This window comes from Homo sapiens, chromosome 5 (assembly GCF_000001405.40).
Source record: "Homo sapiens chromosome 5, GRCh38.p14 Primary Assembly".
Lineage (NCBI taxonomy): Eukaryota > Metazoa > Chordata > Mammalia > Primates > Hominidae > Homo > Homo sapiens.
Genome location: NC_000005.10, coordinates 14,489,249 through 14,515,953, shown reverse-complemented (window position 1 = coordinate 14,515,953; position 26,705 = coordinate 14,489,249). Strand labels below are relative to the sequence as shown.

The window sequence follows — 26,705 nt, the reverse complement described above, 5'->3', positions numbered from 1 at the left end:
CCTTCAAAAATGAAGGGGGAGTCAAGATGCTCTCAGAGGAAGGAACACTAAGAGAATTTGTTGCTAGGAGGACTGCCTTAAAAGAATGACTAGAGTAAGTTCTCTAAGTAGAAAGGAAAGGATAAAGGAATCAATCTCAGAAAATCAGGACGAGAGAACAATGGAAAGAGGAAATGTATGGGTAAATACATTTTCTTTTTCCTCTTTAGTTTTCTAAATTAAGTTTGATGGTTGAGGTGAAAACATACAACATTGTGTGATGTGTTTCTAAATGTATGCGGAGAAAATACAAATGCTCCTCAACTTATGATGCGGTTACATCCCGGTAAACACAGTACGTCAAAAACATTATAAGTTGAAAATGCATTTAATGCTCCAATAAACCCTTTGCAAAGTCAAAAAATACTAAGTTGGCTGGGTGCGGTGGCTCATGCCTGTAATCCCAGCACTTTGGGAGGCCAAGGTGGGAGGATCACCTGAGGTCAGGAGTTTGAGACCAGCCTGGCTAAAATGGTGAAACCCTGTTTCACTAAAAATATAAAAAAATTAGCTGGGCGTGGTGGTGCACACCTTTAATCCCAGCTACTGGGGAGGCTAAGGCATGAGAATCACTTGAACCCGGGAGGCAGAGGCTGAGTGAGCTTAGATCATGCCACTGCGCTCCAGCCTGGGTGACAAGAGCAAGACTCTATCTCTAAAAAAAAAAAAAAAAAAAAAAAAAAAAAAAAAAAAAAGAAAAAGGAAAATCCAAAAAGAATCTACAAAAAATACTCAGAACTAGTAATTCAGTTCAGCAAATATGTGGGATAAGAGATGAGCATTCAAAAATCAACTGTATTCTGTATTTCTATATAGTAGCAATAAATGCATGCACACCAAAATTCAAAATAAATATTTATAATTGTTTAAAAGAAGAAGTACTTAGGCAGAATTCTAATAAAACATATACAATATATGAACTTGTAGAACTACTGATGAAAGAAATCAAGGGAAATATGAATAAATGGAGACATACCCTATTCATGGATTGGAAGGGTCAACATAGTAAAGATGTCAGGTCTCCCCAGATGGATACACAGATTTAATGCAATGCATATAAAAATCTCAGAAAGATATTTTGTAGATATAAATAAGGCTATTGTAAAATTTATAAAGGCAAAGGAACTAGATTAGCAGAAACAATTTTGAAAAAAAATAAAGTGGGGGGATGTCTACTTGCTTTCAAGACTTACTATATAGCTACAGTAATCAAGACTGTGTGTGTGATATTGGTGGAGGGATAAATAGATCAATGGAACAGAGTAGAGAAACCAGGAATAGGCCTACATAAATAGTCCCAGCTGATTTTTGACAAAATATAAAAAGGAAGTTTTTTTTTTTTTTTTGAGATGGAGTCTTGCTCTGTCACCCAGGCTGGAGTGCAGTGGAGCACTCTCGGCTCACTGCAACCTCCACCTCCCCGGTTCAAGCGATTCTCCTGCCTCAGCCTCCCGCGTAGCTGGGACTACAGGCATGCACCACTATGGCCAGCTAATTTTTTGTATTTTTAGTAGAGATGGGGTTTTACCGTGTTAGCCAGGATGGTCTCAATCTCCTGACTTCATGATCTGCCCACCTTGGCTTCCCAAAGTGCTGGGATTACAGGCGTGAGCCACCGCAGCCAGCCAAAAGGAAGCCTTTTTAAAACAAATGTTGCTGTAACAATTGGACATCCATATGCAAACAACAAAACCCTCAGCCTAAACCTTACACTTCATATAAAAATTAGCTCAAAATGAATCATAGACTAAAGTGTAAAACGTGAAACTTAAAAACTGTTAGGAAAAGCAGCTTAGGGAAAAAATCTTTAATATAGAACTAGGTAGAGTTCTTAGACTTGACACCAAAAGCTTGATCCATAAAAGGCAAAAGTATTAAATCGGACTTCATCAAAATTTTTCTCTGTGAAAGATCCTGTTAAGATGAAGAAAAGACACTACAGAGTAGGAGAGAACATCTGCAAACCATATCTCTGACAAAGGACTAGTATCTAGAATATGTAACAAACACTCAGAACTCAACGAGTAAAAACCAAACAATCCAACAAGAAAATGGGCCAAAGATGTGATGAGACATTTCAGGGAAGAGAATATAAAGATGTGCATATAAGCACATGAAAAGAGATTCAACATCATTCGCCAACAGGGAAATACAAATTAAAACCACAATAAGATATCACTTCACGCTTGTCAGTTTGGCCACATTAAAAAAGTGACACCACCAAATGCTGGTAAGGAGACAAAGAAACTGGATTACGCATACGTTGCTGGTGGGAATGTGAAATGGTACAGTCTAGAACAGGGGTCCCCAACCCCAGGCCGTGGACCAGTACTGATCCGTAAAAATTACTGGTCCGCAGTCTGTTGGGAACCAGGCCACACAGCAGGAGGGGAGCGGCAGGCGATGAGTGAAGCTTCTTCTGTATTTACAGCCACTCCCTATTGCTTGTATTACTGCCTGAGCTCCGCCTCCTGTCAGATCAGCCTGGGCGTTAGAATCTCATAGGAATGCAAACCCTACTGTGAACTGTGTATGCGAGGGATCCAGGTTGCACGCTCATGAGAATCTAATGCCTGATAATGTGAGGTGGGACAGTTTCATCCCGAAACCATCCCCCCACTCCTTCCCCATCCATGGAAAAACTGTCTTCCACAAAACTGGTTGGTCCCTGGCGCCAAAAAGGTTGGGGACCACGGGTCTAGGAAACAGTTTGGCAGCACCCTAAAACATGTAATATGTGACTACAATATGATCTTCCAATTGTCTTATCCCAGAGAAATGAAAACTTATGTTCATATGAAAATCTGTACAATGAATGTTCATGCAAACTATTTCTTAACAACCCAAAGCTAAAAAAAACCTCAGATGTCCTTCAATGGGTGAATGGTTCAGTTGTGGCCCATCCACACTGTGAACTACTACTCAGTAATAAAAAGAAAAAAAAACCTCTTGATACAACAATCTGGATTAATTTCCAGATAATGATGCTCGTAGAAAACACCTGTTTCAAAAGGCTACATACTGTGTGATTTCGTTTAAATAACATTCTCAACGTGCCAAAGTTATAGAAATGGAGCACATGTAAGTGGTTGGCAGGGGTTAAAGAAGGGTGTGGTGGCAGAAGGGAAGTAAGTGTGGCCATAAAAGGGCAACAGGAGGGCCCTGGTAGTCGTGGAAATATTCTGCATCTTGACAGTGTTAGTGTCAGTATCCTGGTTGTGATGATGTACGATCGTGTATGTTATCACAGGCAAAGGGTACATTTCTTTTTTTTTTTTTTTTTTTTGAGATGGAGTTTTGCTCTTCTTGCCCAGGCTGGAGTGCAGTGGTGCGATCTTGGCTCACCGCAACCTCCGCCTCCTGGGTTCAAGCGATTCTCCTGCCTCGGCCCCCTGAGTAGCTGGAATTACAGGTATGTACTACCAAGCCCGGCTAATTTTTTGTATTTTTAGTAGAGACAGAGTTTCTCCATGTTGGTCAGGCTGGTCTTGAACTCCTAACCTCAGGTGATCTGCCTACCTTGGCCTCCCAAAGTGCTGGGATTACAGGCGTGAGCCACCACACCCAGCCTAAGGGTACATTTCATAACAATTGGATGTGAATCTACAATGGCCTCAAAATAAAAGGTACAACCTACTTTAAAAAAGCATGTAATATATGAGTTTTACTTAAAAGGCAAACATATCTATGAATGATAGAAATCAGAACAGTGATTACCTTGGGAGGGAGAGATTGACTGGGAAGGGGTGAGACAGACCCTCCTGGGGGGGAGGATAATGGATAACAGAAACGTTTTATAGTTTGCTTTGGGTGGTGATCACAGATATATACATGTATAAAAATTTATTGACGTATGTATTTTCTGTAAGTTAAATTTCACATAAATAAATATAATATAGCCGGGCACGGTGGCTCACAGCCTGTAATCCCAGCACTTTGGGAGGCCAAGGCAGGCAGATCACGAGGTCAGGAGATCAAGACCATCCTGGCTACTGTGAAACCCCATCTCTACTAAAAAAAAAATACAAAAAATTAGCTGGGTGCGGTGGTGGATGCCCGTAGTCCCAGCTACTCGGGAGGCTGAGGCAGGAGAATGGCGTGAACCCCGGAGGCGGAGTTTGCAGTGAGCCGAGATCACGCCACTGCACTCCAGCCTGGGTGACAGAGTGAGACTCAGTCTCAAAATATATATATATATATATATATATATATATATATATATATATATATATATATAGAGAGAGAGAGAGAGAGAGAGAGAGAGAGAGAGAGAGAGAGAGAGAGAGAGAATTGATTAGTTCCAAGAATTACTCCTTTCTCTACAATTGTCTCAAAAATGTACAGGAGAAAGGATCTTTCCTCCTAGTGGTCTAAGATGGTCTAATATTTGTAGTTATAAACAAGGCTATTCCAAAATTCATAAAGGCAAAGGAACTAGATTAGCAGAAACAATTTGGAAAAAAAATAAAGTGGGGGGGGATGTCTACTTGCTTTCAAGACTTACTGTATAGCTACAGTAATCAAAGAACTAATCTAATCTAATAGATTATTGCTTCCTCTAAGATGAGGTTCATAATTCTGCTAAAATACTGACTTCCCTGACTTGTTAGGGCTAAAGAAAATCCGAGTATTTAAAATATTAGAATAACTTGCAGAATGTAAAACATCTTGGTATCTGAGAAAAAAAAATCTAATGATCATGACAGACCAAACATCTGAGGCTCTTTCACTGGGCACAGTGAGTTCTGCTAATCTTACAGGCAGAACCACTCCATTGGGTCATTCAGCAAGTGTCCCATTTAAAGGACACCACCACACACCCCTCGCCTCCTTCGTGTTGCTCAGGTGTGGCACTGTGGTGGGCCAGGCAACTCCCCTGGGGCAGGATGCTGTGCTGGGCAGGTAGATTAGAACCAACCTTGAATTTCCGCCCCCTCCAGAGCCCACCGAGCCATAGGTACCGCTGGGACTTGGGCGGGCACACACCTCAGGGAGTTAGCTTCCCATGTCCTGACTTAGAGACTGCACAAGTGTCCTTTCACGTCAGCCTTCTATTCAGGACTTCAGCAAACAGATGAGAAAGAATACCTGTTACTGATGGTGTGCTGAACAATGAAAGTCATCAGCCCAGAAGGAAAGCCAGAAAGAATCAAGAGAGAAGATACGGTCATTGGAAAAAATAAGCTACTGTCAGCAGGGTGGCAGAGCTGTGGAAGCCACTTGGCTGCAAGTCCCCTTGGACTGGGTGGGCCCAGGGCCGAGGCCGAGGCAGGGCCACCACTGGCGAGTCTTCTCCCAGGTGCAGGATCTTTGGTTTATTCTCAACCAAATGAAACTGTTTCATTTTCTTGAATCTATCTGGACATTACCTTTGCTTTTCTGAGGCCAGCATGAACGAGCTCTTCCCTCGCTTAATTCTGTGTTCATCAGGCAACAGGGTGCCTTAGCTATTCTAACCAGGACAAGCTACAGCCTCGCTGTGCACGGTCAGTCGACATTCTGGCACATACCAGGGTCTCGAGTGTGGTGTCTGTGAACCAGTCTGCAGGAGGCTGAGCAACTCCCATTTCTGAGTGTGTACAGAGGGTTCTCAATCCAGTACATTCTGCCACCTCCCGCCCACGAGAAGTCTCTGCATCAGTCTCTCCCTCAGCCATCTGTCTTTCTGATTCAACAGTGACCAATTTAAATAAAAAGCCTAACACAAAAATCAGGCAAATATGTTTAATTTTTTAAAATAACTGATGGCAAAATAAAATATTTACATCACATCATACTGTGTAAACATGTAAGGTCTCTGTACAAAGAAATATACATGCAAAATAATGTAAAAATTTAACTGAAATAATAAAAGAAACAATACACAAATAAAAATTATGAGGTTACGAATACACATCCAGTTTCGAATCCAATTTCTTTTAAAAAGTTTCTGTACAATTTTACAAGAAGAAACAAACAAAAACCCAACAAAAGAATAAATAAAATACACTGGAAGCTGCAAAGCTTAACTACGCCAGTTTATGGCTCAAGACCCAGGTGTCTGGCTGGCTTGGGAAGCGGGCTGGTCTCTTTTGTAGTGCAGTTCACACGAGAAAGATAAAAAGACATCCAGAAAACTTCGAGGGTGCCCAGAAACCCAGCCTCCTTGAGTTGAAAGGACTCCCCACACCAGTGCGAATGCTGCCACAGTGACTCGGGCATTGGGTACCAGCCGCGGGGCGGCCAGTGCTTAATCGGCTTTTATTTCTTACCAAAAGCTCAAAACCCAGCCAATTTTTATACAGAAAGTTCAACGTCAAAAAGTCTAAAAAGTAGTAAATGTCCAGACTGATTTTGGGAAAAAAAATAATACTTTGGCATTCTGAATAATAGCATAATAAATTTTAAAACATTACCCTATTATCCAGTTTTATATTCAGAGTATGAAATCACTTTTACAGTCCTCAAAACCAACAAATTTCACGAAAAGTCTCTTTGAACCGATGGCACAGGGCTACGACCCTACCCACCCACCCGCCAACCCCAACACACACACAAAACCATAAAGCTCACCATACGAAGTATGTGCTTTTTCTATATATTTATTACAGGTACAACAGAGGTCTTCATAAATAGTTGCATAAAATGTTAAAGCCACAACATTGCACATGATATGAAGTAAAACCAAAAAACCCCCAATGAGTGCATTTACAGTATTTTCATCTGACTGTGTACTGCTCCACAATCTGATTGACGGCTTGGGGCAGGAACAGGGGGAGGGGCAGTGGGGCAGGACCCAACCTGATGTCTTCATGTGATGGGAAGACCCTCGGACCCCCAGAGGAAGCCCCAGGTGGTGGGTGGGGGGTGGGTAGGGGAGGCAGGTGGGAAAATGACAGACCGAAGGCAGGAACAGTCTTATATACAAGTAAGGCCTACATTTCATCAGAGCAAAACGATTCATTCTATTTTATGCAAAAGTTTGAGGTTGAATGCACGTTTCAGAAGCCACGTCGGGCGTGAGATGCACACAGACGAGGCGCCTGGAAGCTCAGAGCCGAGTGGTCTCTGAGTCCTAGACAAGGCCATGGGAGTGGCCGCCACCTAGGTGCGTCTTCCCCAGAGACGCACAGTATCTTTGTTCATTAACACCAGTGGTTGAACATAGGCATTTTGTTTCCTTGAATAAATCTTGAAAACGTTAAATTTGCAAAATTCTATTCATGTTTGTTTAAAAAAGTTATCTTTTTATTTTTTTGCAGAAACCTGAATAAAATACTGTGATACAGCAATGCGACCTCTGCCTTGGGCAGAGTGTAAGTGACGGTCCTCCACCCCAGCGCAGCTTGCAGCTCTGTGTCCAAGCACTGCTGAGCACAGCTCACTTGGAATGCAATTTCACACGATGAACATACCGGCAGCTGATCAGTTATGTTTGCTTGTTTTCTCTTGAAAATTCAGATTAACAGCTGATTGGCAGGTGAAAGAGAATGAGAAAGAACTTCTGGATAGGTCAAACTCTAGGCAGAAGCCTGCTCTGCAGAAAGTTTTTAATGCTACGGATAGGTCGAACATCATTCTGGTGTTTGCGCCGCTCAATGAAGGAAGTCAGTCTGGACGTGTCGAGGACGCCCGTGCTTCTGCCGTTGCCGGCCTGCAGCCACTGCTCCTGGAGGGCCAGCGCAGCCGAGGGACGCTTGGCGGGGTCCTCCTGCAGGAGGAAGCACACGAACTCCTTGGCCTTCTGGCTCACTCCTTTAAAGTAGTCATCTGGGAAGCTAAAGTCTAAGCGGCAAATGTTCAGGCAGGTCTCTTCCACACTGTCATCCAGGAAGGGGGACACGCCACTAAGAAGTACGTATGTGAGCACTCCAACACTCCACGTATCCGAGGTCAGGGAGACAGGGTTCCCGAGGATGATTTCAGGGGCTGCGAATTCAGGGTTCCCCAGTAACTGGTGGATGTAGTAGGTCGTGTTGAGCTGAACAGCATCTCCAAAGTCAGCCAGTTTGATGGTTGGCTTGGCTAAACTCTCATCCACCAGGATATTCTCAGGCTGGAAATCAGAATACAACTGTCATTTTCAGACCATCCAATCTTAAGCTTACTCGTGATGATGGGCGGGACTCTATGGTGAGGTGGAAGGAATCTAGGATGTCAACTAGGACAAGCCATGCATGTGCAAAGCAGGCCGGACCACTCAGCTGGCAGCCGAGGGTGAGGAGGAAGAGATGACACAGCGGAGCTGGGACCCAGATCCACACAGGGCAGCTCTCTTTGGAGATCTAAGTGCCAAGTAGCCTAATGAAACCAGGCTGCTTTATGAAGCTGGGTGTTCATTTTCCCTCCCAGCACCAAGGGGAATGCTCTCTTTCCCGCCTAAGCTACCACTGCACCCGCCACACCCACCGGGCAAAACTCATGGGGACTTTCTGAAAGTCGTGGAAGGCTGGGAGGGCTCCGGCGTTTTACCCAGTGTGCTCCTGACCGTGTGCATCACTGAACGCAAACGCTTAGAGAGAGAGATTAGCAATCAGTGTCTGCGCTGCCCCACCCACCCTTTTTGTCCCTAGTCACTTGGGGGCTCCTGGCCTGGCTTCAGAGGGGGCTCTGTGTCCCGCATGGCCAAGCCGGTGTGCTCAGACCCCCCTTCACCTGCCCGGGGCCTCACCAACCTTTAGGTCCAGGTGTGCTATCCTGCAGTTGTGCAGGTACCGGACAGCTTCCAGAACCTCCCCCAGGTGCGCCCTGATCTTCCCTTCAGTGAGGCTTCCCCATCGCACCACGCAGTCCAGGAGGCGACCCTGGTCAGCCCTAAAGAGGCAGGAGCGGGTGACTGTTATGATGCGATTTGCTTTGAAGACCTCTTTGGGCTAGTAAGAAGTAAACATGTCGGACCTGTCACCTGTTATGAATGTGTCATCGGGATCTCAGGGCCGTGCCTCTAAGGCGTGACTAGACAAGGAGGGGGATTTTGTAAAGCTCTGTTGGGAAGATGCGAGTGGGGTACAGGGTGTCTCCATCTTAAGAGGGAAGCCGGTGGTAGAGCGGCACAGTCAAGGGTCCAAACCCGCCTGTTGCGGGGGATGGCGTGGCCCGGCTGCCGGCAGTGCCAGGTGCAGCAGGCATCCTGCGGTATCTGCTGAAGGAAGGCAAGTAGCTCATGCTTCTCGGAGCTGTAGTTTCCTCACCTGTAGAATGGGCCACGGGAAGACTCACCGAGATCATGTAACCACAGGCTGGGCAGGAGGTGACACACTGAGTGCTCAGTGTTGGACTCAGAAGACTTCCTCCTCTGAAACTACTGTTCATACTAAAAAAACACTTACCCAGCACTGCCAAGTGCCAGGGGCTCAATGCCTTCTAACAACTCATTTAATCCTTATGACTCTCTGTGAAGTGGGCCTTAGTGTACCCATTTGATACACGAGGAAACTCAGGACAGAGAAAGCATGAAACGTTCCCAAGGTCCCACAGCTCCAGAGTGGAGAAGCCAGGATTGGACTGAGGTGGTCTGGCCCCCACCTCTCTCAACACCGGCCTATGCTGCTCTCTTTGCAAAACAGAAATCTGTAGGAAGATCAGCTGCCTGTCTAGCAATGGGGAGTCGCCGGTGAGAACAGGAGTAATCTGTCATGAAAACGGATCCTATTAACAGGATGGTGAGGCCAAACCATTTTGTTTCCCAGAAATGACAGCTGAAAGCACTGAAATGTCAGTCCAGAAACGAAGGCCTTTAGGAGATTTGTGACAAGCACTCAAGCCACAGTTTTGTTAAAACTCCCCAGGGAAGGTGAGCAGTGGCCATTGGTCACCAGCGTCTGGAGCCAGAAAGGAGACCTCCCGGGTCCTGAGGCTCCCAGGCCAGGCCTCGGCTTGGATGTCGGCTCGGCTCTTCCACACACATCGCCCCATCTCGGCCCCACGACAACCCTCCAAAGCCAGTGTGACTTTTAAGGACACCAGGGTGAGAAATGAGCCGATGAGAGGGAGGGCGGGGACTGAGGCCAGGCGAGGCCAGTGGACCTCCTCTCCATACACACTGCTCAGCCTCACTGCGCCCCACCGTCTGCCCTTCTGCCATGAGATGTGTTTTCTATTCTTGAAAGACGGGCTGGAAGCACGTCCCCATGTGCTGGGGGAGGTTCTAGCTGTGCAGCCATGGGTGGGAGGCCTTCCTGAGACACCCACTGTCACCCATGGCACATGGGCGGCCCGAGGAAGCTGGTAAGGCTGCATGTGGGGCCATGTGGGACGCTGTGGCAGCCTTGCCCTAGGAAGGGTATGGGGAGGCATTTATAGTTTCTTTAAGAAAAAAATGACAATAACTACAACATCAGGTACAGGGCCTGGAGGGAGTTCCTGCCGGCGAGGGGCCCCGAGCTTGAGTCTGCCCCTACATGACCCCATGGGGGCGCCCTGCTAATCCTATCCTTCCCACTGAAGAAGCTATGCAAACTTCCCAAATGGTGACAAAAGGTTTTACCCTTCCCCATGGAAAAGCAGCTGTAAATGCAAGTAAATGTATAAAATGACTCCCCCTAAAAAGGAGGAATCGACATTTTTCAAAGCTAAATGCACAGATGTTTGGGGTGGATGAATCCATGGGGGTTGTCCCTGCCTTGCAGGAGGTTGGGTGGCATCCCTGGCCTCCGGCCGCTCCCTGCCGGACTCACCCCCAGCCTGAGCTCTCCTGACATTTCCACGAGAACCCACCCCTAGATGAGAACCGCTCCTGTGGGACACAGGTTTCAAACTCTTTTCTTGACGTGACTAAATTATTTTCTGATCTTACACAGGAGCCCAGTAAGTACAACGGGGACCAGAGGGGCAGCTCTGGTTGGTGTGCCCGCGCCCCCTCTTCGGAGGACATTCTGCGGGGAGGTGCGTCTTACCCTCCCATCCAACTGGCCTTCACTTGGCAGGAGGCCTGAGGGGCACCCCGCTGATCCGGGGTGAGCTGGCCCTGCACAGGCTTGGGGTATCAGGTCAGCCTCCAACCACTAATGGGGGCTTGGGTTCAGCACCAGAGACAGCCTGGCCTCATGGGACCTTCAGAAAAGGGGTGGGGGGGGTGCATCTCCGGGTTGGCTGAGCATATCAGGTGTTCCATCCCAGCAGTGACTGCCCTTCATCAGGCAACCGCCCTGTGGAAGACCACACTGCTTTCTGCCATTACTGGAAGGCTTGAAAACTGCGGGCTCTGACAGTGAAGATGTTTTTTAGTTCTGTAAATTCTACAAACCCAATTTCTATCCTTCTTAGAGAACAAACAGGAACAACAAAACCCCCTGAGGTGGAGGCAGAGGGCTGGGCAGAGGGAAGGCCAGGTGTGTACGCACATTTCTAAGACCAGGATGTAGCTGGTGGGGGTCTCAAAGGTGTCGAGGAGGCCGACAAGCAGGGGGTGCTGGAGGCTCTGCAGGATGCCAAGCTCATGGGTGACCTGGTCGCGCTTCATCAACTTCTTGTTCACAAACTTAGTGGCCACTGCTCGCTTGGTTCCTTTCTGATCACATTTCTTAACGACAGAGAATCTGCCCCTGTAAAATATGTCAGGGGGACCATTTGCAGAGGCTGCTGAGGTCTGGCACCGAGAAAGACTCTGTTATCCTAAATGGACTGGCTGTGTGGTGGCCCAGCCCTGTCCAGAGGCCCTGCTCTCCCGGCCACTCCACGGAGGGGCTGTGGTGCCATGGCTGTCCCCCAAATCTGCCCTTGTCCCCGCAGCCACGCGGTTCTGCTGGTCCTTCCTCCCAGGCAGCCTTGGTCTCCTCACGTCGGTGGCTGCTTTCCCAGCACTGCGTGTGGTGGAAGTGACAGAGGAAGACCTCTGAGCCTTGGCCTTGCCGGGCGACTCCCTTCTGCTTCCCACGACGAGCAGAAGCTGGGATGGCTGCTCACGCCTCCCGTCAGCCACCTTTCCCTGCACGTTTGAAAGGTGCGTCTGCTGTGGTCACTGCCTCAGCCTCGCCCCTGTGGGGGTGTGTGGGGCAGGCACGAGGACCCTGGAGCTGCCCCTGATGACCCACTCCTGGGGACTGGCCACAACTCAACGCGATCTGGACGAGGCCTTGGACCTCAGGTGGGGGCCTGGGCTGGGGGCCTGAGGTGGGTGAGTGCATTCTGCACATGTGAGGACCAGAGATGCGCCTGTGGCGGGCAGACTGTGTGGTTAAAGGCCACGGTTTTGCTACTTCTGTCACTCGGAGGCGGGGGCTATTCGTCCCCTTGAATCAGGGCTGCCTGGGGCTGGCTCTGGCCCACAGGATGTGGAGGACGTTGGTCGTTCTGAGGCTGGGCCTTCAGAGGCCTTGACGCTCCTGCTCCTGCTGTTCTGGGATGCCACTGCCCTCACGTGGGGGAGCCCAGGGTGAAAGTCGATGTGGAAAGAGGCCAGTGTCCCAGACAACGCCTCTGACACGCATGGGGCATGGTGCACCAGCTGACCAGGCCAGGAGAGGCCAACAGAATAATGGTCCCATCTGCCCACTGCACTGGAAGAAGGCACATGTCACCACTGTCCTAAGACAGCATGTGCTGGTGTGACTTTTTATGCAGCCACAGACAGCTGACAGAGACAGCAACAGGAGCCATGTGACTAGTTATGACCTCAGGAATGAATGCCAGAGGGTGCTGCTGGCTGGAGTTTCTGGGGGAGTTCTTACCAAGGGACAAAGGACAGCTGTCATGCTCCTCTGACCTTGCTCTTCCTGCCACATGGGACACAACACCTGAATGTGTGTGCTGTGTGGCCCTGGAGGCAGAGCCAAGAGAAGCCGGGCTGTCTGATGGCACTGCTGGGCCACCCCTGACTCGGCTGCCCCTCATGAAGAGAAAGAACCCCTTTGATGGGGAAACCTCTCTCTTAGTTTGTGCATCTAATTTTACTGTCACTCCTTGAAGTCTCCATGCACAAATGAAACGTGAAGGGCACAAGAGGATTAAGAACTACAAGAAGCGTTTGAAAGACTCCTGAACTCTCCCAAGGACGGCACAGAGCTACCACTATTCCACATTCACAGAGGGAAGCAATTTCTCCCCATTGAGGGGTGACTGGTGGCATTCGGCCCTCTCTGCTGGAACCCGAGTGGAAAATGGCTTCCTTACTTCCCCAGTGTTTAGCGTCTAAAGGCAATGAGAGTTACGATTCAAATGCAAGACACACAGCTTCCAATTGCTGGCAAGATAACACTGCTTAGCTTTATCCCTGCACTCTCTGGTATGTCTTCCCCACGCTCTGCTCTTTCGGAAGGCGTTCTGGGTTGTGCATCATACCTGCCAAGCTCAGCCACTTCACTGTAGAAGGAGTCAAAGTTGTCTTTCCAGGTCACCATGATCCCATCCATCCCTGGACCTGCAAGAAGAACAGCACCTGCCTGAGCTTGTTTCCCGTGGAGCTTCTTGGGTAAGAAGGCTATCGCCACGCACTGTCCCTCACAGCAGCTGCGCGTGGCCACCGGGCACCTGCCACACGGCTCATGCGAGTGGAGATGTGGTGGCTGCATAAAGGACACACAGACACTGGGGCTTAGTGTGAAGGAAGAATGCAAAATAGTTCACTAATGATTTTTCAAATATTGATTTCATGTTGAAATCTAATACTTTGGATGTATTTCATTAAATTAAATACATGTTAGTAAAAACTGCTTTTACTTTTATTTTTAAAATGTGTTTACTAGAAAAATCTAAACTTGCATATGTGGCCTCTTTTTGCTTCTATTGGACAGCACTGCTACAGATGGTCCTCCCCGTTCACCTGGCCGCACCACCTCGAGGCTAAGTTGCTCTCTCCTCCCCACGCCTCCTTTCACAGCCGTGAGAGATCAAGAGTCCACAGTATTTACTTAACGTCCACAGGGTTTTACATGGTTAATGAATCATAAATACACTACAAAGAGGATTTTATTATAAAAGTGCCAACTGTAAATCACCTGTGAGTAATGAACCCTGTGTACATGTCCACAGGAACAGAAAGCATCCTTTCAAGAGTCTTCCTGTGAAAAGAAGCACTAAGTGGGGGAGCCCCACGTGGTCCTGCTGCCAGGCAGCCCCTGGGAAGCACAGCTGCCACTGTGATTCTAGGCCTCCACGGGAGCCTGGCCCTCCCGACCCCACTCATCCAGCCTCCTCTCCCCACTTAGTTTCCTCTCCCCTCTTTCGGCCCGCTCACCTGACCTGCAGTCCAGCCCAGGCCGAGCATCTGCCCATCCCTATCTTCACGTGGGCTTCCTCACCTCTCCCCAGGTTGTCACTGGGAATGCGTTTCCTTAAACCATGTCCAATCCAAGCTGACTTGTCTAATTGGGCTCCCTGGGGTGGTGGCCACCTCCTCCATGTGCCTTCCCTGACTCACTCATGGCTGGAAATCATCTCCTCACATAGCAGTGGGCAGTCCTGGTGGATGCCATGTGCTGCCAGCTAGCACTGTTGTCACAGGAGTACTGCTGACCGCTACATGACTACAAGTGAACCCGTGTCTGATCCACCTCTGCAGCCTCCCAGAAACCAGAAGAATGCCTGGCACACACAAAGCCTCAAATCTTCACTGAAGGACACACGAGAAGCAATAATTTCACGTCAATCACTTAAACCAAAGGCTACGTTTTGTTCTGCAGTCTTTTTTTGTTAATGCTGGCACATTTGCACCCCTTTAAAGTGCTTTATAAATGGTAAGGTTAATTCTGACCTTGCAGGTGAAGGAGTACTGAGAGAGAAGCATTAATAAAAATAAAATTATTTCACTAGGCAGATTTGAAGCATCTACCAACTCACATTAAGAAATATTGGACTATTATTTACATAAAAATATTTTTTCTTCTTTTTTTAACTGAAAGGGCTTGGTGTTTTTTTTTTCTTTTTTTTAAATAAACATTTTTATTCGAGCATTACATATATACAGAAAAGTGGACCAAACATAAATGGCGACTCTGTGACCACCAACCAGACCCAGAGACAGAGCATCATAGTGGGCAGGTGCTCCCTGGCTCCTCTAAAACACACCTTTCTTTTTCCCTGTGTGTTTTTTTTTTTTTTTTTTTTTTTTTGAGGCAGAGTCTTGCTCTGTCACCCAGGATGGAGCGCAGTGGTGCAATCTCGACTCACTGCAATTTCAACATCCCAGGTGGCAAGTGATCCCCCCACCTCAGCCTCCAGAGTAGTTGGGACCACACGCGCACACCACCACACCCAGCTAATTTTTTGTATTTTTGTAGAGATGGTGTTTTGCCATGTTGCTGGTCTCTAACTCCTGGGCTCAAGCCATGGCTACCTGCCTCGGCCTCCCAAAGTGCTGGGATTACAGGCATGAGCCACTGCACCTGGCCCCCTTTTCTCATCAACAGAAGCCTCGGCCCTGGCTGGTGGGATGACAGGGCTCTCTTTGGATGATTCTCTCGGACACAGTTTGGGGGCCTGCACCTGTCCTCAGGGTGCAGGGCCAATGCCTCCAGCCTCAGGACTCCCCTCTCATAGCCCAGACTCTGACCAGCTACCTGCCTTGAGCCAGAGCTGGACTGAGAATAAGGCTTTGTTTCCTGAGCATCTGAGAACTGGGGCTCTGCAAGGCAGCCAGGGCTGGAGAGAATGAGGGCGCACACCCCAGACAGCTTGTGGGTGCAGGAATAGCCTCAGGCAGACAGGAGTGGAGCCAAGGGTAGATTTAAAACAAAACACAAAATTACTGATGCCTGCAAACAAAGTGGCTTCTCTCAGAGAACAATTTGGAAATGGTTAAGATCATCTTGGAATAGTCCACATAAGATAATTCTTCTGAAGACCTTTAGGGGTGCAGCTGAATTTGTGTGATAGAAGTAACTACACACTTGGATTATTTTCCCATTTGCATTTCCAGGGTATGAATAGTCTTTTTTTTTTTTTTTTTTTGAGACAGAGTCTCGCTCTGTCACCCAGGCTGGAGTGCAGTGGCATGATCTCGGCTCACTGCAACCTCTGCCTCCTGGGTTCAAGTGATTCTCCTGCCTCAGCCTCAAGAGTAGCTGGGACTACAGGCGCTTGCCACCACGCCGGCTAATTTTTTGTTATTTTTAGCAGAGACAGGGTTTCACTGTGTTAGCCACGATGGTCTCGATCTCCTGACCTGGTGATCCACCCACCTCGGCCTCCCAAAGCGCTGGGATTACAGGTGTGAGCCACTACGCCCAGCTGAATAGTATACCTTTCTAAAGTCCTTTAGCTTTTGCCAGTGATTAAAAAAAAAAAATCACCTGTGTAATTTCTGTGTTATTTACAAATTAGAAAATCTTTACCTTTTATTGTTTACTGCCAAATTCTAGAGTTTTAGATTTCTTGTTCCATGATCCAAAAAATCAGAACATGTCTTCTGATTTAATGTTGTTAAAAACAGGAAATTAAGATATCTGGGACAAAAGTTCTAAGACAAATTCTGCTTATTGTCTACAGACGGGGTGCTCCAGGACTCAATTTATCTTTCATTTGGAGTTTTATTTGTCCTCTGGAGGCACCTCCATTTGTGGTGCAGCCCAGTACTGCATGGCCGGCCTTCTGCAAGATGGCAGCAGAGAACAGTCCACACCTTTCTCAGCAGCTATCTACATCAGGCAACTACAGGACGTTTTGAAAGAGCCTAAGATATTGGTTCTGCCCCAGGGAGCTTGTGGTTTAGCTGAGGAGAAAGAACAAGCTCTTCACACTGGAGCAAGCAGGCCCCATGGCAGATGCCTCCTAGCCAGATGCTCTGGACAAGCTACTGAGCCGCCCTGGGCCTGGCTCCTCCTGGATGGGGTGAGGAGGGCGTGCATTCACCCAGAAGGGTTGCTGTTAGGGTCTCAGACAGGCACAGGGCCTGCGCAGGCCCGGGACTCACCCACATCTCCTTTCCTGCTTTTCCCATGCACATTCTACATGAGACCAACCTAGACCAGATCCAGATTCAGCTGGGTAGCTGGATATGAGTGTTTTGAGTACTAGGAGCACGGAAAGCACCCTGCTCCAACTCAGAAGCTGGTCGTGGGGGGCCCTGGTGCCCCATGGTGGGCAGCCAGAGGCCTTCACCAGGCAGGCCCCCATCCTCCTCCCAGCAACAGGAGCTCCGGTGTCTCCCCCGACTTTACATAAGGTGCCGAGAGGTCACTCTCCTGTGACATCCCAGACACTCTGGTCTGCTACTTACAACTGTCTTTTGAAGCCCCACAAATGACTTATTGTTCTATCTTTCAGGCCACTTGGAGTGTAAGGGCAGACTCAGGACTTAAGGAGACTCCTGAAAGACGTGCCCCACTGGGTCACGTAGAATCCTCGTTGCACGGTGCTTACCTAGGACCCTCAGGCTGGCCGACGATGAGGCTGAACCCATGTCATTGACAGCGATGCACGTGTAGATGCCGTCATCTTCCGTGGTCACGCCCACAATCTTCAGCGTGGCCTCTCCCAGGTCACTGCGGCACAGATGGGAACACACTGCGCATCAGAAAAGCTGAGCACGTGGCCATCAGCGCTGGCCTCCTCCTTCAGGATCAAGGGAAGGCAGGAGCTCAAGTGCTGATGAGGAGCTGTACACCCAGGCGTGAAATGGGCTCTCACGGAAGAAGTGGAGTGCCGAAGGCAGCCAAAGAAATCCATCCGTGAAGGAGGAATTTCCAGTTGCCAAGTGACAAGATGGTGCTCCCAGCCAGCGAAACCCACCAGGAGTGGGCCTCCCTCACCTGTAGGAGATGCTGTAGTGACCATCGTTGTTCAAGGTGTTGTGTTCAGGGCCCTTCCAGGTAATTGAGGCTTTGGGGCGGCCACAGACTCGACATCTAAGAACAACGGTCTCCCCTGTCTCACACGTGACCTCACTCAATGGAATGACGAATTCTGGGGGAACTGCATGGGAAAGGAGTCGGTAAAGGCCCATCAGCCCTGGCTCCTCCTCCACACCCACCCACATGTCCCCGACAGATTGATAGGACCTAACCTGCTATGCACGCCTAGAGCGCCACGGAAAACTCATTTCCAGAGGCCACACTCAAGTGCTCTGAAACATGCCCCACAGGTCTAGAATCATCTCTAGGACTAGAAGAAAAAGAACAGAACTCACCGTCATAAATGTAGTTGGGATTGAGAAGCTGAAATGGAAACAGCAAACAAGCATTAACTGAAATGAGCTACTTTAAGGTGTATTCCTTTCATTCCAGGGCTACAATTATTGTTGAAAGATTTGCAGAAACTGACTTGCCTGGGCATCAATCAAAACAGACCACATTTTCACTGCACTCAAAAGTTTCATGTCACACTAATTTGGGTGGGTCTTTTTCTTCCTACCCACAAACACAAAAACACTGCTTAGATGTGTGTTTTTCTCATGCTACAGGCTGAGTCCAGCTGGTCCTCAGATGCGTTCCTAATGCAGAGCCGCCAACGCCCTGGCCCCTGGCGCTCAGAGTCCCTTTCAGGAGATACCTTCTTTTTCTCCAGGCAACCCCCACCGCAGGTGTCAGGCAATCCGATTATAGGACTAAAGCTGACTGAAGTTGTCCCCAAGGGGATCTGTCACAGCCAGAGAGCCCATATGCACCCCCACATCTAGCCACTTCCCCTTGGCTTTAAGGCAGGAACACTGAAGGAAGCCTGAGCCATAGCTTCTCTGCACCTTCGCTGCTTCTGAGAACCTAGTCTCTGTGCTTCATTTGCAAACCTAACCATATTCTTTAGAAGCCACATGTGCACCTGCGGAAGTGTGCAGGGGTCTACCTGGTTCCTTGTAGGACGCACCCATCCCTGTGCTGGCCAGCATAGTGCCCCTAACAAGACCCTACAGGACACGCAGGGCACGGGGCTGGTGGGTGGGAGGGAGGTCATAAGCAAGCCCAGCTTCAGGTCTGCAGAGTCTCTGCCCTCCCTGATCCTTTCTCTCATGCTGGGATGACACGGACTCCTGAAGACCCCCGAACACACCTTCACAGATACCTTGTTGCTGAGTCCTTCCCGTGACTTCCGATAACCGTTCTCTAACTTGCCTTCCCTTTTGCCGTCTTTATCTTTTTTCTCAGATTTTTTCCTTAAACGGAGTGCTGTGTGCCAAGATGTTGACTTCCTAGGGGAAATGAACACACTGTGGGTATTATGCCTTTCCAACATTCACCAAGTGCTGCCTGGAAGCGTTAAAGAAAAGCTGAATATTCAACGTATGTGTGTGCAGGGGGATGGGAAATCCTCTACGAACTGTGACCTCTGTTAGAGAAAATGTTCCTTTTTTTTAAGAACCAGGAGATAAAACCAACAATCTCTTAAAGTTTGAGGATGAAAATATAAAGGTGCCTGTGATAACTGATTTTATGTGTAACTTGACTGGGTCACAGGACGCCTAGATATTTGTTCAAACATTATTCTGGGTATTCCTGTGAGGGTGTTTCTGAATAAGATGAACATTTTGATGGGTCCAGTAAAGGCATGTGCCCTTTCTAAGGTGAATGGCCCTCATCCAATGAGCCGAAGGCCTTAAGGGAACACAAAAAGTCTGGTCTCCCAAGCAAGAGGGCGTTCTCTAGCAGACTGTCTTCAGGCTCAGCCTGCACCACGTGCTCTCCGGGGTCTGAAGCCTGCTGGTCCACATGCAGATTTGGACTTGCCAGTCTCCCTAACTATGTGAGGCAATTTCTCATCATAAATCCACTTCTAGACAGGCATACCTTTTAGAGGTCCTGGGGACTTGGTTCCAGACTACCACAACAAAGTGAGCCACATCAAGTTTTGGTTTCTTAGTGCATATAAAAGTTAAGTTTATACTATACTAGAGTCTATTATGTGTGCAATAGTATTATGTCTAAAAAATGTACATACCTTAATTAAAAACAGTTTATTTGCTAAAAAAAATGCTATCATCCGCACCATCAGTGAATTGTACTGTTTTTGCTAGTGGAGGGTCTTGTCTTGATGCTGATGGCTGCTGACTGATCAAGGTGGTAGTTGCTGAAGGCTGGAGTGGGTGTGGCAATTTCTTTCTCTGAGACGGAGTCTTGCTCAGTCACCCAGGCTGGAGTGCAGTGGCGCGAACTCGGCTCACTGCAAGCTCCACCTTGTGGGTTCAAGCTATTCTCCTGCCTCAGCCTCCCAAGTAACTGGGACTACAGGCGCCTGCCACTACGCTCAGCTATTTTTTTTTGTATTTTTAGTAGAGATGGGGTTTCACTGTTAGCCAGGATGGTCTCGATCTCTTGACCTCGTGATCCACCCGTCTTGGCCTCCCAAACTGCTGGGATTACAGGCGTGAGCCACCACGCCTGGCCTTTTTTTTTTTTTTTTTTTTTTTTTTTTCTAGTAGAGACGGGGTTTCACTATGTTGGCCAGGCTGGTTGTGAACTCTGACCTTATGATCCACCCGCCTCAGCCTCCAAACGTTCTGGGATTACAGGCATGAGCCACTACGCCTGGCCTGGCTGGGGCAATTTCTTAAAGTAAGACAACAAGAAATTTGCCACCACTCCCCTTGTTACAAAAGACTTCCCTGCAGCATGTGACACTGATAGCATTATACCCAGAGTAGAACTTCTTTGGAAATTGGAATCAATCCTTTCAAACCCTGCTGTTGCACTGTCAACTAAGTTTATGTAATATTCTAAATTCTTTGCCAATATTTCAACAGTGTTCATAGCCTTTTCACCAGGAGTAGATTCCATCTCAAGAGACCACTTTCTCTGCGCACCCCTAAGAAGCAGCTCCACATCTGTTCAAGTTTGATGAGGAGATTGCAGCTCTTCAGCCACATTTTCAGGCTCCATTTCTGATCCTATTTTTCTTGCTGTTTCTGCCACATCTGAGTTATTTCCTTCACTGAAGTCTTAAAACCTTCAAAGTCATCCATGAGGGTTGAAATCAACTTCTTCCAAACCACTGTTAATTAATGTTAACATTCTGACCTTCTCCCATGATTCATGAGTGTTCTTCATGACATCTGGAATGGTGAATCCTCTCCACAAGGTTTTCAATTTACTTTGCCCAGATCCACTGGAGGCATCACTGCCTATGGTAGCTATGGCATTACAAAATGTATTTATGTATTTCTTTTCCTTTTTTTGAGACAGAGTCTCACTCTGCTGCCCAGGCTGGAGTGCAGTGGCATGATCTAGGCTCTATGCAACCTCCGCCTCCAGGGTTCAAGCAATTCTCCTGTCTCAGCCTCCCAAGTAGCTGGGACCACAGACACATGCCACCATGCCCAGCGAATTTTTGTATTTTTAATAGAGCCTGGGTTTCACCATACTTGTCAGGCTGGTCTCGAACTCCTGACCTCAGGTGATCCACCCGCCTTGGCTTCCCAAAGTGCTGGGATGATGGGTGTCAGCCACCATGCCCAGCCCAAAATGTATTTCTTAAATAAGACTTGAAAGTCCAAATTACTCCTTGATCCGTGGGCTGTAGCATGGATATTGTCTTAGCAGGCAAGAAAACAACACGAATCTCCTTGCACATCTCCATCGGAGCTCTTGGGTGACCAGGTGCATTTTCAAAGAACAGTAATATTTTGAAAGAATTTTTGTTTTCTGAGCAGTACGTGTTGACACTGGCCTTAAAATACTCAGTAAACCGTGTTGTAAATACATGGTGTACAGATGTGCTGTCAGCCAGGCTTTGTTGTTCCATTTCTAGAGCACAGGCAGAGTAGATGCCTCTACCACAGCAGGCATTCCAGGGGGATGAAGAGTTGTAAAAACTGCCATCAAATTCAGTAAAATAATACTCAGTGCAGCAAAACCGGCTTCATGTTTCTTAACTGAATTAACCTTTTGGTATATAAGGTGTGATGATAATTAGCATGGTTCTTAAGGACCCCAGGATTTTCAGAAGGGTAAATAAATGCGACTGGGTTCAACTTAAAGCCACCAGCTGCATTAGCCCCTAACCCTTTTATTTTACAGGATTAGCTTTCCTTAAACTTCATGAATCAACTAGTTTGCTAGTTTGCAACTTTTCTTCTGCAGCTTCCTCATCTCTCTCAGCCTTTATAGAACTGGAGAGAGATGGAGCCTTGTTCTGGGTTGGGCTTTGGCTTAAGGCAAGGTTGTGGCTGGTTTGATCTTCTATCCAGACCACTCAAACTTTCTCTGTCTCAGCAAAGGCTGTTTTGCCTTCTTACTATTTGTGTGTTTAGTGGGGTAGCACTTTTATTTCCTTTGCATTTACAATTTAGCTAACTGTTCGGTGCGAGAGGCGCTTAGCTTTCGGCCTATATCCACTTTTGGCATGCCTTCCTCACTAAGCTTCTGGCTTTTGATTTAAAGTGAGAGACATGTGACTCTTCCACTTGAACATTTAGGGGCCACTGTAGAGTTATTAACTGGTCTAATTTCGATATTGTTGTGTCTCAGGCAGGCCTGAGGAGAGGGAGACACATGGGGGAATGGACAGTTGGTGGAGCAGTTAGAACACACGTTTATTATGTTTGGCATCTTGTATGTGTGCAGTTCATTGTTCCTCAAAACAATTATAATGGTAACATCAGACATCACTAACTACATATCACCGTAACAAATACAATAACAAAATGCATGAAATATTTGAGAATCACCAAAATGTGACACAAATACAGAGTGTGAGCATACGTTGTTGGACAAATGGCACCGAGAGACTTGCTTGACATAGGGTTGCCACAAAACTCGTGTAAAAAAGGCAATGTCTTCAAAGCACATTAAAGCAAAGCACAAAACAACCTGAGGTGTGCCTGTGTCTATGCCAACATCTCCGCACGCTCCCTACTGGTCCTGCTCCTCTGAAGGACCCTGACTAATATGCGGCCTAAGAATGTATGTCAAAGAAACAAAGATAGGGGATATTTTCCCCTTAGGTTTCTTAAACAAACAAACAAACAAACAAACAACACTTTCTTGAGTTATGACTAACACAAAAATGTCAAATGGGATTCCTCAACAATGTGCTAGAACAGACTATTTCTAAATGCAGATTATTCAAAGACCCTGTGAGTCTGAGTGTGTGAGATGGAAGGCCACCCATCTTCCCACGTGCTCAGAGCTGAGCCTGTTCTAACATACCAGCGCAGATCTCCCTTCCACATGCTTACCCCGTCTGAGGTCGTGTGCCTCACGGGTGCTGTGCCCCCTCCCTCTGCTGCCTGCCAGGACGCCGTTACTGTCAAGCACTCACTTGAGAGTCCCGTCCGGGTTCTCCACGATGACTGCACTGGTGTGGCCCAGGACAAAGCCTGGAATCCAGCCCTCAGCTGCGGGGCACTGGTCAGTGGCGGCTCGGAACACCAGAAACATGTTCTGCTGGTTGCTGGCCAGAATTTGAACGACCTCTCCTTGGTAGACGTTGATCTCATCCTCCTTCACTGCCGTGTAATCGTGTGTCACCAACATGGTGGAGATGTTGCTACTGCTGCTGCTTTCACTCTGCAGAGGGACAGATGAAGACAGAGAAAGGCAGGGAGGAACTGAAACGAGACCTGATCACATGAAATCCCTTGTCAGTGTGCCCCATGGCACCATGACCCCGTGCAGGGCTCACCAGGCAAGCACCGAGAAATTTTCAACATTTCCTTTACCCTCTGGCTAACTGTGTGCATCTATTTCAATAACTGAAAATGTAATTTCTCTAGAAAGCAATTTAGGGACGCTCTTAAAAAATTCACTGCAATAATGACTCTTTGGTTTTGGAAGCTCGTTCCACTGTGGTCTTCCTTGCACCCTCACGGGAACATCTTAGTCCTCCTGCTGACGCCACGTTAGGTTACTCCTAAGCAAACATAGCCACATCACTGTGAATCTCATTATCAGTTAAAAAAAGGTATTAGAATTAATTGATGCAAAATTAATCTTCATTTCACTGACAGATTAGATAACAGAGAAGTCCCTAAATCTTCCAGATAGAATGTTCATTGGGAATGCATACTCTAGAATCATGCTAAGTTGCTGACATGCCTAATCATTTCTACTTCGTCTCTTCAAAAAGAAGAACATGGAACCCCTGAACGTAAATCGATCACTATTCTGCTCATACGGAGAGCGACTCTGTCTCCAGCAATACGAACTTGCTAGGTGTCCCTCTTATGAACTTGCATGACTCAAGTGTCCCCAAGGCTCTGCTGCCATGGGAACATATCACAAAGCATCCCAGTGCCACTCGCCCCAGGTGCTGTGACTCAAGCTTTGGGAACGGATTCTGGTGTGGGATGCGTACCCCCACCCTTATACCGCTGCCCCTGTGGGACCCGATCTCTTCAGTCACAGGGCTGACATGCAGCAGGAACTCAACATATGGTGAGTGACTCGGTCAGTGAGGCAGGATTGCAACAGCAAGACAGAGATTTCTTAAGGCCCTACCCAGGCCACACACAGAGTGGTGTTAGCTCCTGAGAAGAAACACAAACGGCAGTGTTTGTCCCACTCTCATCTAGCGCGTGGCCTATGGTTCTGGGTGGAGAAGAAATGCAGATCCCCTGCCAACGCCTGAAGCTGCATCTTGCCCAAGTCCCCTCTATCAAGTTAGGATGTGAGAAACGGCATCTGGTGCCTCGTTCCCGTGAACTTGTGCTCAAAGGCTTCCACTGAGGGTACTGTCGGGATGTTCATGGGTTCCCAAGGCTCCAAAGGTGCTAGCTTCTGCTGGGCTCTCCGACGCCCTGGGCAGATCCTGGGTCAGTGCAGATGCAATTTGTCAGATAACCCTGCTCTACCGCCTCTCAGCCCTGGTCTACTGAGCCAGTATCAGTACACGCTGGAGCAGGTGGCGGACTGCTGTAGCTGGCCAAAAGGACCAGAGGGAAGAGACCTCTGGCCCTCCTCCATGAGGTCAAGCCTGAGAAAGCCAACAAGCCAGCCACTGGGAATTCCAGGTGCCAGGGCTATGAATCTAGACCTGTGGTGCATACTTAAAAACATGGCGGTGCTGCCCAGCTCCTGTTCTTTGTCTCTGCCGTGGAGGAGTCTGCTTCCTGTTCTTGTCCCTGTGGGTGCCCACTGTTTGCCTGTGGCTCTTCAGCAAAAAAGCGTGCTGTACAGGGAAGGCTTTGGCTTGTGCATACTCATTTATGCATTATACTTTTAGCATGGACTTTAGTATTCTGACTTATATGGCAATGCCCAAGAGTACTGAGATTACAAAGCTAAATTTCCAAGAATATGTAAACAAAAAACAACTTCTGCAGCACAGCTGCTTTTGGTAATATACCAGGCTACAATCTCATAATTAGAGTATTTTGCTACTACAATCCTAACTATTAGTATTTTCTGGGCATCTCCTATGTACTAGGCATTTCAAGTCTATCCTGCTTAATTCTCACCACCAACCCACCAGTGGGCGTGGTTATCAGTCTCTCAGAGTGGAAGGTCAGTGAGCTGGCACTGGCCACCTGGCCTGTGCAAGAAAGGCAGGGCTGGAGTGACTCCAGTGTGCATGCACTTTTATTGCTGCTCAATAAAGCAGGCCAAAAGGCCAGACCACTGAGCTGCAGGAAGGACTGGTGCAGCCATGGTTTGGGTTGATCCACATCCATGTCACTCCTGCTGTCAGCAGAGCTTTGCAGAAGCTGCTCATCTAAAGGGGGAAGAGGGAGCCGGGCTGTGGGCTGGGCACAGCTGCTTGACTGTGACCACAGACAGCTTGACAGAAGTGATCAAGGAGGAAGGAGGCCTTTGCAGATCTCCAGGGGGACAGAAGTGCAAATACGTGGGGGCTTTTTGAGACGGAGTCTCCCTCTGTCATCCAGGCTGGAGTGCAATGGCACGATCTCGGCTCACTGCAACCACTGCCTCCTGGGTTCAAGCGATTCTCCTGCCTCAGCCTCCCAAGTAGCTGGGACTATAGGTGCGTGCCAGCTCACCTAATTTTAAATGCTCAGCTAATTTTATTTTTAGTAGAGATGGGGTTTCACCATGCTGGCCTCGAACTCCTGACCTTGTGATCTGCCCGTCTCGGCCTCCCAAAGCGCTGGGATTACAGGTGTGAGACATCATGCCCAGCCTAGAGGGCATTTTTAAAGCCCCATTTTGGAGCTCTGGAGTCTTCCTAGGCCTTTAGGGCATTTCTGTAAGGCATCTTGACTTGTCTGAAATCCTGTTCAGCAAGTTCCCTTTCCAGGTTCCCTGCCACATGAGAACAAGTAGGAAGAGAAAGAGAGAAAGCAAAAGCAACTTTCCCAACCTAAAGCTCGCGGGAACACGTGCCACTTGCAGATTGCGCCTTGGCCTCAGAGACAGCATTCAGGATGGAGCCAGGGTGTGGCCATTTTTCATGTCTTCTCATGAATGTCCAGAGAAGACTGGCATTGGCTCCTGTCTTGGAGCAGTTGAAGTGTTAATTTTGAAACACAGACTCTGAAATCTCCTCTCGTACTGAATGGGAATGTGTCCAGGCTATGATGAGCTCTAGATGCTAACTGGCAGATTCAGCGAGGGTCACAGCTATAAGGCCACACCTGGATACTGAGTATCCAACTAAGTGCTGACGGGTATAGCCCGTCACTGGGTTGACTGCATCTCCCCACCACCCCACACTGGACTCAAATCTATGCTCACCCGCCTAGCATACCTGCCTACCTAGCACGTCCAACCTAACTGAAAGGCCACCTTGCTCTGGAGGACACAGTACGGTGGCCATGACAGCGGATGCCTACCCGGCCACTTCAACTGTAAATAAATGTATCAAGACCCATTTGTTAATTTCTTCCCCAATTAAAGTTTAACAAAATACATAACAAAAAATAGTAGGAA

At 47.9% G+C, this 26,705-nt stretch overlaps 1 protein-coding gene across 11 annotated transcripts in view, besides 1 other annotated feature; it reads right to left on the bottom strand.

Annotated features, from left to right (window-relative positions):
* The window catches only part of TRIO (trio Rho guanine nucleotide exchange factor), a 366,863-nt gene continuing 345,907 nt past the window's right edge, over nucleotides 5,750-26,705 (bottom strand). For 8 of the 11 annotated variants that reach the window (NR_134469.2, XM_047417679.1, NM_007118.4 and 5 more), the window contains 9 exons: nucleotides 23,140-23,387; nucleotides 18,937-19,075; nucleotides 18,080-18,107; nucleotides 17,703-17,865; nucleotides 17,314-17,435; nucleotides 13,297-13,375; nucleotides 11,361-11,561; nucleotides 8,694-8,832; nucleotides 5,750-8,074 (listed from right to left, as the gene is read on the bottom strand). Coding sequence is in view for 10 of the 11 variants with exons in the window: in XM_047417679.1 (XP_047273635.1) it covers nucleotides 7,532-8,074; nucleotides 8,694-8,832; nucleotides 11,361-11,561; nucleotides 13,297-13,375; nucleotides 17,314-17,435; nucleotides 17,703-17,865; nucleotides 18,080-18,107; nucleotides 18,937-19,075; nucleotides 23,140-23,387 (1,662 nt within the window). In the remaining variant the exon portion in view is untranslated. The remainder of the gene's footprint in view (nucleotides 8,075-8,693; nucleotides 8,833-11,360; nucleotides 11,562-13,296; nucleotides 13,376-17,313; nucleotides 17,436-17,702; nucleotides 17,866-18,079; nucleotides 18,108-18,936; nucleotides 19,076-23,139; nucleotides 23,388-26,705) is intronic. The other 3 variants (XM_017009801.2, XM_017009802.2, XM_047417681.1) reach the window with 3 other exon arrangements.
* Nucleotides 17,148-18,347: an enhancer, noted in NCBI's record as "CDK7 strongly-dependent group 2 enhancer chr5:14497716-14498915 (GRCh37/hg19 assembly coordinates)". NCBI's record gives its function as "activates an origin of replication core promoter dependent on BRD2, BRD4, P300/CBP, MED14 and CDK7 cofactors, with strong dependence on CDK7, by STARR-seq in HCT116 cells {active_cell/tissue: HCT116}" and the evidence as "EXISTENCE:reporter gene assay evidence [ECO:0000049][PMID:35650434]".